The sequence below is a fragment of the Homo sapiens genome, chromosome 12, assembly GCF_000001405.40.
Source record: "Homo sapiens chromosome 12, GRCh38.p14 Primary Assembly".
Lineage (NCBI taxonomy): Eukaryota > Metazoa > Chordata > Mammalia > Primates > Hominidae > Homo > Homo sapiens.
The window spans coordinates 117,196,591-117,208,081 of NC_000012.12; the positions used below are offsets into that span (position 1 = coordinate 117,196,591).

The following is an 11,491-nucleotide window of genomic DNA, read 5'->3' on the forward strand; positions in this document are numbered from 1 at the left end:
AGATTCAAAGGTTTTTTGTTGTTGTGTTTTTTGTTTTTTGTTTTTTTGAGACACAGTCTCACTCTGTCGCCAGGCTGGAGTGCAGTGGCACGATTTCAGCTCACTTCTACCTCTGCCTCCTGGGTTCAAGTGATTCTCCTGCCTCAGTCTCTGTAGCTGGGACTACAGGCGCACGCCACCACACCCAGCTAATTTTTTGCATTTTTAGTAGAGACGGGGTTTCACCATGTTGGTCAAGATGGTCTCGATCTCTTGACCTTGTGAGCCGCCCGCTTTGGCCTCCCAAAGTGCTGGGATTACAGGCGTTAGCCACTGTGCAGGGCCCTGGATTCAAAGATTTTTTGACTTGTATTTGGTTAAGGAGGTGAAGCTTTGTCTAAAAAAATTGAGATTTGCAGTAAAGAATGTTAGCTCTGGCTGGTAGCCGTGATCTCCTCTAGACCCCACAGGAAGAAATTTAGAACAAAAAACAGTGGTCAGGGTTCGGTCCTCAGTTTCTCTTTATGTGAGGTCTACGGCCAGTGGGTCTGTTTGGTGGGGGTCTGGGATCCTGAAAAACAACCCACAGACGTGTGTTAAGACACTATCCTTAGTTTCTGTAAGCGAACCAGACATCCCATGATTCTAACTTTCTTGCTAGTGTTTTGAGCTACTATTACCTTCTTGCTTATCAAGTCACTCATTTACTTCTCAGCAAGGTGCCTGGAATTACTAGCGAGGTGCCTGGAATTTCCCTTGAAGGAACTCAAAATTTTTCTTCATTTCCATGCTTGGGAGTTCCTGCTCTATCCCACAGTCCCTGCTAAAATCACCCTGCACAAACTCAAATCCTAGAATAAGTCCCTCTGGGATCCCTCCTCCCTGGCTTCCCAGTGGTCCTCTAGGGTGGCCTCTCCCTTGCTGCAGCAAGGTAAAAACTTATCTTTGTTGGACTACAGATGAATTTCTCGTTATTTTTGGCTGGCGAGGTCAACACCCCTCTCCAGTGAAATCTCCACAATCTAGCCGCAGATACCATTTCAACTACCCTCAACACTGTCCACACCTGTTTTGCCAAGATCCAAGCTCCCATTCTTTCTGTAATTTTAAGATGTTAATAAGTTTCCAAACTCCATGGCAGCGGGGAGGTGAGTAATCTTTTGGTGGGCCTCTTCCGTGTGCATGTTCATAAATTTGTATGCCCATTCTCTCTTTCTCTCTCTTTTTGTTTTGGAGACAGGGTCTTGCTCTGTTGACCAGACTGGAGTGCAGTAGAGCAGTAATAGCTCACTGCAGCCTTGAACTTCTGGGATGAAGCCATCCTCCTGGCTCAGCCTCCCAAGTAACTGGGACTACACGTGTGTGCCACCATGCCTGGCTATTTTATTTTTTGAGATAGAGTTTCGCTCTTGTTGCCCAGACTGGAGTGCAGTGGTGTGATCTTGGCTCACTGCAACCTCCACCTCTTGGGTTCAAGCAATCCTCCTGCCTCAGCCTCCTGAGTAGCTGGGATTACAGATGTCTGCCACCACACCCAGCTAATTTTTTTGTATTTTTAGTAGAGACGGGGTTTCACCATGTTGGCCAGGCTGATCTTGAACTCCTGACCTCAGGTGATCCAGCTGCTTCGGCCTCCCAAAATGCTGGGATTACAGGCGTGAGCCATCGCGCCTGGCCTATGCCTGGCTATTTAAAAAAAAATTTTTATAGAGATGGGAGCTTGCACTGTTGCCCAGGCTGGTTTTGAATACCTGGCTTCAAGCAATCCTCCTGCCTTGGCCTCCCAAAGGCCTTTTCTCTTATTAATCTGCCTTTTGTGAGTTGATTTTTCAGTGAAACTTCTGAGGGCAAAGGGGAAGTTTCCCTTAGTCCCTACAGTGTTCCTTGTCCTCATAATTAGTACTTACATCCTTTCTTTTCTGGTCCACTTCTCTGCCCACCTGAGGGCCTTTGCTGATACGGTTCCTTTTCCCAGGAGTGCCTCCTCAGCCACACCTACTCATCTTTCAGATTTCTGCTCAAGTGCTCCTCTGTAGGAACACAAGTCCATGAACCCAGGCTAGGCAAGCTCCTTCTGCCTTGTGCCTTCTCAGAACCCTATGCCTTTCATTCAGTACACACTCACAAACTGTAGGAATGCATACATGGCCATGATTACTAGATTCACCCTCCCGCAGGGGCAGATCTGGGTTTAGTGGAGCCCGGAGCTTACGCTGTTTGGAGGCCCTATTTTATTGTATTTTATTTTAAGACGGAGTCTTGCTCTGTTGCCTAGGCTAGACTGTAAGTCTCGCTCTGTAGCCCAGGCTGGAGTGCAATGGCGTGATCTTGGCTTACTGCAACCTCCGCCTCCCAGGTTTAAGCGATTCTCTCACCTCAGCCTCCCAAGTAGCTGGGACTATAGGCACACATCATCATGCCCAACTAATTTTTATATTTTTGGTAGAGATGGTGTTTCACCATGTTGGCCAGACTGGTCTCAAACTCCTGACCTCAAGTGATCTGCCTGCCTCGGTCTCCCAAAGTGCTGGGATTACAGGTGTGCGCCATCACACCTGGCCTGGAGGCCCTGTTTTAGAAAAGAGATACACAAGGATGAATTCACAAGTACACAAGAGTACTAGAAAGAGTATGTAGAATGAGAAAATAAGTGGCCTTGGAAGGGAGGGATCTTTCCAAGGGAGGGGCCTTAAAGTTAAGCTTCATCACTTCCATCAAATCTCTTTCTATAATATAGCAACTGGCTGGGCACAGTGGCTCACGCCTGTAATGCCAGCATTCTGAGAGGCCGAGGTGGGTGGATCACCTGAGGTCAGGAGTTCAAGGCCAACCTTGCCAACATGGTGAAACCCTGTCTCTACTAAAAAATACCAAAAAAAAAAAAAAAAAAAAAAAATTAGCAGGGTGTGGTGGCACATGCCTATAATCCCAGATACTCGGGAGGCTGAGGCAGCAGAATTGTTTGAACCTGGGAGGTGGATGTTGCAGTGAGCCAAGATCATGCCACTGCACGCCAGCCTGGGCAACAGATTGAGACTCTGTCTCAAAAAAAAAAAAAAAAAAAAAAAGGCAACCTCAGCTGGGCGGGGTGGCTCATGCCTATAATCTCAGGACTTTGAGAGGCTAAGGTGGGAGGATCATTTGAGCCTAGGAGGTCGAGGCTGCAGTGAGCCATGATCACGCCACTACAATCCAGCCTGGGTGATAGAGCGAGAGCTTGTCTCAAACAAAAAAAAAAAAAAAAAAAAAAAAAAAAAAAGAAGGCAACTTCTATGAAAACACAGCTTCTGCTCAGTTTTGCTGAAATAGTTATTGAACGTACATCGAGGACATCTCATGTTGTCCTGCAGAGACACTTTCTGACCAGCTAATCAACCCCGTTATGTGCAGGGTTTGCTCCCCCTCATTGTCCCCTCAGAGCCACCTTATTGCTGAAGACTTCCCTGACCACTCTATTTAAACAGTCACTTTTTTCCCTGTTTTTTTTTCCTCCAAAAATTACTTAATCATCACTAACATTCTTCTTCCTACCCACTCCTCCTCCACTTCTTCCTCTTTCCTCCTCCTCCTCCTCCCCTTCCCCTCCTCCTCCTCCTTCTCCTCCTCCTCCTCTTCCTCCTCCTTCTTCTTTCTTCTTCTCCTTCTAGCTTCCTTATGAACCAGGCTCAGTGGCTCACGCCTGTAATCCCAGCACTTTAGGAGGCTGAAATGAGGCCGAGATGGGCTGATCACTTGAGGTCAGGAGTTTGAGACCAGCTTGGACAACATGGTGAAACCCTGTCTCTACCAAAAATACAAAAATTAGGCAGCTGTGGTGGCAGGCACCTGTAATCACAGCTACTCGTGAGGCTGAGGCATGAGAATCGCTTGAACCTGGGAGGCGGAGGTTGCAGTGAGCAGAGATCGTGCCATTGCACTCCAGCCTGGGCGATAGAGTGAGACTCTGTTTCAAAAAATAAATAAATAAATAAAATAAATAAATAAATAAATAAATAAATAAAAGCTTACTTATTGTCCCTGTCCTTCTTCTGTAATGTGAGTGCTACTGGTTGATCTACCAGAGTCTGCCACATAATAGGTCCTCATTCTATTTCTATGGAATGGATGAATGCATCCTACAAGCGAATCAATTGAGCTGACTGTATTTTGTGTGTGGGGTGGACATGAATCATTGGGAGCCAGAGGATGGGCTGTGTTAAGCTGGAAATGATCCCCAAACATGTCCAGGTTCTAATGCCCGAGAACTGTGAATATGTTACCTTATGTGGCAAAAGGGGGCTTTTCAGATGTGATTAAGTTAAGGAATCTTGAGAAGAGGAGATGATCCTGGATTATCTGGGTGGATCCAGTGTCATCCCAAGGGTTCTCATAAGAGGGAAGCAGGAGGGTCAGAGGCAGAGGATGAGGTGGGATAACGGAAGCAGAGGTTGGAGTGATGCTGGGCAGTGAGTCAAGGAATGTGGGAGGCTTCCAGAACCTGGAAAATGCAAAGAAATGGATTCTCCTCTAGAACAGTAGTAACAGTCAATGAATACAGATTTAATTCATATTTTGTATTAGCTTTCCTTTTTCTTTTTTTTTTTTAAGGAGTTTCTCTCTTGTTGCCCAGGCTGGAGTGCAGTGACGTGGATCTCTGATCACTGCAACTTCCACTTCCCAAGTTCAAGCAATTCTCCTGCCTCAGCCTCCCAAATAGCTGGGATTACAGGTGCTAATTTTTTGTATTTTTAGTAGAGACGGGGTTTCACCATGTTGGCCAGGCTGGTCTTGAACTCCTGACCTTAGGTGATCCACCTGTCTCGGCCTCCCAATGTGCTGGGATTTCAGGCGTGAGCCACCGCGCCCGGCCTTAGCTTTCCTTTCCCTTTTGTGTGTGTGTGTGTGTGTGTGTTTTGTTTTGTTTTGTTTTGAGACAGAGTCTTGCTCTGTCACCCAGGCTGGAGTGCAGTGGCGCGATTTCAGCTCACTGCAACCTCCACCTCCTGGGTTCAAGCAGTTCTCCTGCCTCAGCCTCCAGAGTAGCTGGGACTACAGGCGCCCACCACCATGCCTGACTAATGTTTGTATTTTTAGTAGAGATGGGATTTCACTATATTGGCCAGACTGGTCTCAAACTCCTGACCTTGTGATCTGCCTGCCTCGGCCTCCCAAAGTGCTGGGATTATAGGTGTGAGCCACCACGCTTGGCCAGCTTTCCTTTCTTTCTTTTTTCTTTTTCTTTTCTTTTTTTTTTTTTTGAGATGGGGTCTCACTCTTTTTTCCAGGCTGGAGGGCAGTGGTATAATCACTGCTCACTGCAGCCTCAGCCTCCTGGGCCCGAGGGATCCTCCTGCCTCAGCTTCCCAAGTAGTTGGGACTACAGGCGTGAGCCACCATGCCTAGCTAATATACTAGCTTTCTTCAGTTACTCTAACAAACTACTACAATCTAGTAGCTTCAAACCACGCAATGTTATTATTTTACAGCTCTGTACGTCAGGAGTCCCCCGTGGCTCTTTCAGGGCTAAAATCGAAGTGTTTAACAGAGCTGTGTTCCCACTGGAAGCTCTCGATGGACATCTGTTCTTTGTCTTTTCAGCTTGTGAAGGCCACTCGCATTCCCTCACTCACAGCTGCACCCCTCCAACCTCTGCAGCAATAATGCAGTATGCCAGGGAGATTTCGTGGCTGTTTGTTACTCAGCATTAGCGTGGCAAGAGCTGACTGGTACAAAGAGGCAGACAGGACATACGCACAGACACGTACACAGACAACTATTGCCAAGCAACACTTCCTGGGTGCAAAGTGATTGGTATTGACAAGCAGCATAGCCAGAGGCTACAGGCAGGAGCCCACAAAGGGGCTGTTTGAATCAAACCCTCAGCAATAGAAATGGTTACCAACAGAAATAAGAGAGGAGGGTGGGTTTCCAGGTAGTGGGGAGTGGCAGAGGCAAAGGCCCCATGGGAAGGAAAAGAAAAGCTGTGTTTAGAACCACCGAGGTGGATCAGCCCAGAAAAGTAGACTTGGGCAGAGCTGAGGAAGAAAGGGAAGCCAAAAAGGGCCACTTGTGGTCACACAAACACTGACTGTTGGCCAGAGGAACTGGCCCTTCCTCCTCTGATCCCTAGTGGCACCGAATGACTTTGAGCAAAGGCATGACGGGATGAAAGAGATGTTTTAGGAAGGGCACTCTGGGGGCAGCATGTGCTTTCCAAGGAAGGCAATACCACCAGCCTGGAGGGAAACGGAACAGGTGTCTCTCTCCCTGTAGACTTTGCCGGCAGCGTTCTGCTAATAACAGCCTTTCCATTAGAGACTCTTTTCGAAACGTTCAAGACTAAACGGATTTGGTGACTCGCTGCATTATGTTGAATTAATACCACAGATACTACACTTTGAGTTTATTGCGTGTCTCTGAAGCTTTCTCAAACTTGTTTTTTTTATTTTGAGATGGAGCCTCGATCTGTCGCCCAGGCTGGAGTGCAGTGGCATGACGTTGGCTCACGGCAACCTCCACCTCCTGGGCTCAAGTGATTCTCCTGCCTCAGCCTCCTGAATAGCTGGGACTGCAGGCGCACACCACAATGCCCAGCTAATTTTTGTATTTTTAGTAGAGACAAGTTTTCACCATGTTGACCAGGCTGGTCTCAAACTCCTGACCTCAAGTGATCCGCCTGCCTTGGCCCCTCAAAGTGCTGGGATTACAAGCGTGAGCCACGGCACCCAGCTGGCTTTCTCAAACTTAATCGTTGCTTTATCTGGTAGTTCCTTTGTTTATGAGAAAAGGAATTGAAGGAGAGAGGAGGAGAGTGGAAAACATCACCCCTGAATATCTTAAAATTCTTGGTCACAGTAAATTAGCAAGGGGCCAAGGGAGTGAGGCTTCCCATGTCAACTCCGGGTGCCAGCAGAGAAAACCTAGATGCATGAAGGCCAGGAGATCACTCACCTCTGTATCCCCATCCCTGAGTCTAGTAGTACGAAGAAATTTGAGGGTTTTTTTGTTTTGTTTTTGTTTTTTGAATCACTTTACCTGGCTGGGCGAGGTAGCTCACACCTGTAATCTCAGCACTTTGGGAGGCTGAGGCGGGCGGATCACCTGAGGTCAGGAGTTTGAGATCAGCCTGGCCAACATGGCAAAAACCTGTCTCTACTAAAAATACAAAAATTAGTCAGGTGTGGTGGCGTACATCTGTAATCCCAGCTACTCGGGAGGCTGAGGCAGGAGAATTGCTTGAAACCCAGGAAGCGGAGGTTGCAGTGAGCCAAGATGGTGCCACTGCACTCCTGCCTGGGTGACAGAGCGAGACTCCATCTCAAATAAAAATAAAAATAAAAATAAATAAAATTAAATAAATAAATAAATAAATAAAATAAATAAATAATCACTTAACCAATAACCAATTACTCAGGTCTCAACTCTTCTGCTGTCTGATTAACGTAACCTCATTTTCCTCTAGAGGCCATCCCTAAAGCTATTTCCTTTTAGTGATATGTATCAAACACTATGTTGATTCACCTGGTTGTAAAGACTTTGCCTGTTTTTGATTTCCTGGTAATCTTGTGGAGGGTACCACAAACAAATAAACACATTTTGACTCTGTAAGGGGCTGTGAAGCCCATATTCTATGTTCATTTGTAGTGACTCAAAAATATTTTTATATTCCCTCCCCCACCACTTGTTTCCCACCTGCTTCTCTTTCTGATTTGTACTTGGGAAGGTTCTGTTTTGGTGCAGACTCGGGTTTTTTACGTGGTTGCCAGGAAACAGAAGTCATTTGGTTGAGATGCATATAATGTTAAATTGTTCCCGGCTGCCTCTGGGGCAGAGCCTGTTGAAACTCCAGTGTGTATGTAAGTCATGCCGAGATCTGGTTAGACATGAAGATGTCCGAGACTTTCCCTGGACAGGTCAGGGAGATGCCCAGGCACTGGCTTTTTTTTTTTTTTTTTTTTTCGAGACGGAGTCTCACTCTGTCACCCAGGCTGAAGTGCAGTGGCATGATCTTGGCTCATCACAACCTCCACCTCCCGGGTTCAAGCAATTCTCCTGCCTCAGCCTCCAGAGTAGCTGGGACTATAGGTACACACCACCATGCCCAGCTAATTTTTGTATTTTTAATAGAGATATAGGGTTTCACTACGTTGGCTAGGCTGGTCTCAAACTCCTGACCTCGTGATCCGCCCGCCTTGGCCTCCCAAAGTGTTGGGATTACAGGCATAAGCCACCATGCCTAGCGGCACCGGCTTTTAAAAGGAGAGATCCCTGTAACTGCAGGTGGTCCGAGGAGGCTTGAGAAACTCAGTGCTTAAGTATCAAATAACTTCAAGATGGGCTGTTGGAACTTCTAGAAGACACAAAAGCTTGAGAAGGCTGGAAGGCACCAAAGCTGGGGCCTTATTTTATCTACCTATTCTACTCCATTCCATTCCATCCTGTCTTGCCCTAAGCATATTGCAAATATTAACTCATTTAACCCTATCGCAAACCAATGGCGTAGAAACGATCATAACTGATTTCACAGTGAAGAAATGGAAGTCTAGAAAGGATGGGTAACTTACCCAAAGTTGCATAGTTAGAAAGTGGAGGAGCTGGGATTTGAACCAAGACAGTCCGGGTGTCTTAGTGACAGCATGGGGGGGTGGATAGGAATGCGGCTTCTTCGGCTGCACAGCTTGGGTTCAAATCTCACCTCTAACATTAGCATGCTATGTTAGCCTTGCATAAACTGTCTGATCCCCTTGCACGTCAGTTACCCAAGCTTTAAATTGGAGGAGAGTAAATCGTAACATGTCAAAGCATTCTTGTCAAGATTAGCTTTTTTTTCTTTTTTTCTTTTTTGCCTGACTCACTCTGTTGCCCAGGCTGGAGTGCAGTGGCATAATCACGGCTCACTGCAGGCTTGACCTCGCAGGCTCAAGCAATTCTCCCACCTCAGCCTTCTGAGTAGCTGGGACTACGGCTACACCTGGGACTACAGGAGCACACCACCACACCCAGCTTTTTTTTTTTTTTTTTTTTTTTTTTGAGACAGATTCTCACTCTTTCACACAGGCTGGAGTGCAGTGGTGCAATCTGGGCTCACTGAAACCTCCACTTCCTGGGTTCAAGCGATTCTCCTGCCTCAGCCTCCTGAGTAGTTGGGGTTACAGGTGTGTGCTACCACACCCAGCTAATTTTTGTATTTTTAGTAGAGATGGGGGTTTCGCCATGTTGGCCAGGCTGGTCTTGAACTCCTGACCTTAGGTGATCCACCCACGTTGGCCTCCCAAAGTGCTGGGATTACAGGCATGAGCCACTGCGCCCGGCTGTATTTTGTATTTTTTGTAGACAGGGTCTCACTATGTTGCCCAGCCTGGCTTGAACTCTCGGGCTCAAGCAATCCCCCCACTTCAGCCTCCCAAAGTGCTGGGATTACAGGCATGAGTCACTGCGCCCGGCTGTATTTTTGTATTTTTTGTAGAGACAGGGTCTCACTATGTTGCCCAGGCTGGCTTCAACTCCTGGGCTCAAACAATCCTCCCACTTCAGCCTCCCAAAGTGTTGGGATTACAGGCATGAGCCACTGCGCCCACTAAGACTGGCTTTTAATAACTGTTAGCCCTTCTTAAAATTGGCTAATACATTGTTGTAGGACAGTAAGTAGGGCATGGAGTTCCCTGACTCCTGCTCTGTCTCTGATCTTCATCCCACACTTGAACTTAGGCATGAGGCTCAGGGATGGGATGGAGGAGTCAGGAGTGATGTATGTGTGCAGGTGGGGTGGGCAATGAGTTGAATAAGCTACTTGGTAATTTAAAAAAACCTGAATGTCGGCTGGGTGCAGTGGCTCACGCCTGTAATCCCAGCACTCTGGGAGGCTGAGGCAGGCAGATCACCTGAGGTTAGGAATTTGAGACCAGCCTGGCCAACATGGTGAAACCCCGTCTCTAACAAAAATACAAAAAATGTAGCCGGGTATTGTGGCGGATGCCTGTAATCCCAGATACTTGGGTGGCTGAGTCAGGAGAATCATTTGAACCTGGGATGGATGTTGTAGTGAGCTGAGATAGTGCCCTGCACTCCAGCCTGGGCGATGGCGATGGAGCGAGAGTCTGGCTCAAAAAAATAAAAAATAAAATAAATAAAAAAGCTGAAATGTCTAGTCACAGCATCCAAATCGCCATGTCTGGAAGGGCATGATGAAGCCTCATCCCCCTGCATCAAACCCAACTGCTAGTTTATTCCTTTATGGTCACAAATCTGTCGGGCATTTGACATCAGCACTTCTTCATCTATTTTTTCTTTTTTTTTTTTTTCTGAGATGGAGTTTCTCTCTTGTTGCCCAGGCTGGAGTGCAATGGTGTGGTCTTGGCTCACTGCATCCTCCGCCTCCCGGATTCAAGTGATTCTCCTGCCTCTCACCTTCCTGAGTAGCTGGGACTACAGGTGTGCACCACCATGCCTGGCTAATTTTTGTATTTTTAGTAGAGATGGGGTTTTGCCATGTTGGCCAGGCTGGTCTCAAACTCCTGACCTCATGTGATCTGCCCGCCTCGGCCTCCCAAAGTGCTGGGATCACAGGCGTGAGCTACCGCGTCCGGTCTCTTCATCTATTCTTTTACTGCTTTTGAGGTCTCTTTGTTTTGGAACTGGGCCTGAAACCAGCCAGGAATTAGAGTTTAGGGTCCTCAGGGAGGAGGGCCCTAAATGGAAGAGGGCTGAGGGTGAAGGTCTTACTGTTTCTCTGGGGCCCTGGCTATGGATGCAGCTGTGCTGGAGGAAAAGGGGGTGTTGGGGAGGCGGGCAGAGAGGACGCTCAGCTACGCCACCCAGATCTGCATCGGGACTCAGGAACGAGTCCCCTGGCTGCCGGGAGCACCCTCAGCCTTCAGCCCCTTGGGTGTGGCTTCTGCTGGTGAGAGTTGCCTGACTCAAGATGTACGGGTCTAAAATCCTGCCTTCCAGTCCCAAATCGGGACACCTCTGAAAGGTCACCTTTAGAATGCCCTGCAGGGCTGGCTGAAGCTTCTGTTGAGACTTATGGCAGCTCAGCTTTGCCTCTGACCAGAGAGGCCTCCTCCCCTCCCCTCCTCTCCCCCTGCCCTTCACTTCTGCCTCCTCCTTCCCCTCCCCTTCTCTCTTCTTCCCTTAGTTTTCTTCTCCCCTCCCTCTTTTCCTCTCTTCTTGCTTTCCCTCCTCTCTGCTCCTTCTCCTCCTCCTCTTTTCTCTCCTTCTTCTCCCTCCTCTACCCTCCCTCCTCTTCCCCTCTTTTCCCTCCCTCCCCTCCCGCTCCCGCTCCTTCCCTGGTCTTTCTTTTCCCTCTCCCCTGTCCCTTCCTCTCTTCCCTCTTCTCTCCTCCCCTCCCCTCTCCTCCCTTACCCTCCCCTCTCACTCTCTCCCCTCCCTTCTCTTCCTCTCTCCTCCCCTTCACTCCCTTCTCCTCTCTTCTCCCCTTCCCTTCTCTCCCCTCTCCTCCCCAAGAGCACTCTCTTGTCAGCCTCCTGCCAACTCCATCTCAGAGCAGGCTTCTGGGGCACCCAACCCAGGA

The 11,491-nt window shown here is 48.0% G+C and overlaps 1 annotated feature.

Moving 5' to 3' along the window:
• Positions 10,810–11,310: an enhancer, noted in NCBI's record as "H3K4me1 hESC enhancer chr12:117645205-117645705 (GRCh37/hg19 assembly coordinates)". NCBI's record gives its function as "activates a minimal SCP1, AML or CMV promoter by ChIP-STARR-seq in primed H9 embryonic stem cells {active_cell/tissue: H9 hESC(primed)}" and the evidence as "EXISTENCE:reporter gene assay evidence [ECO:0000049][PMID:30033119]".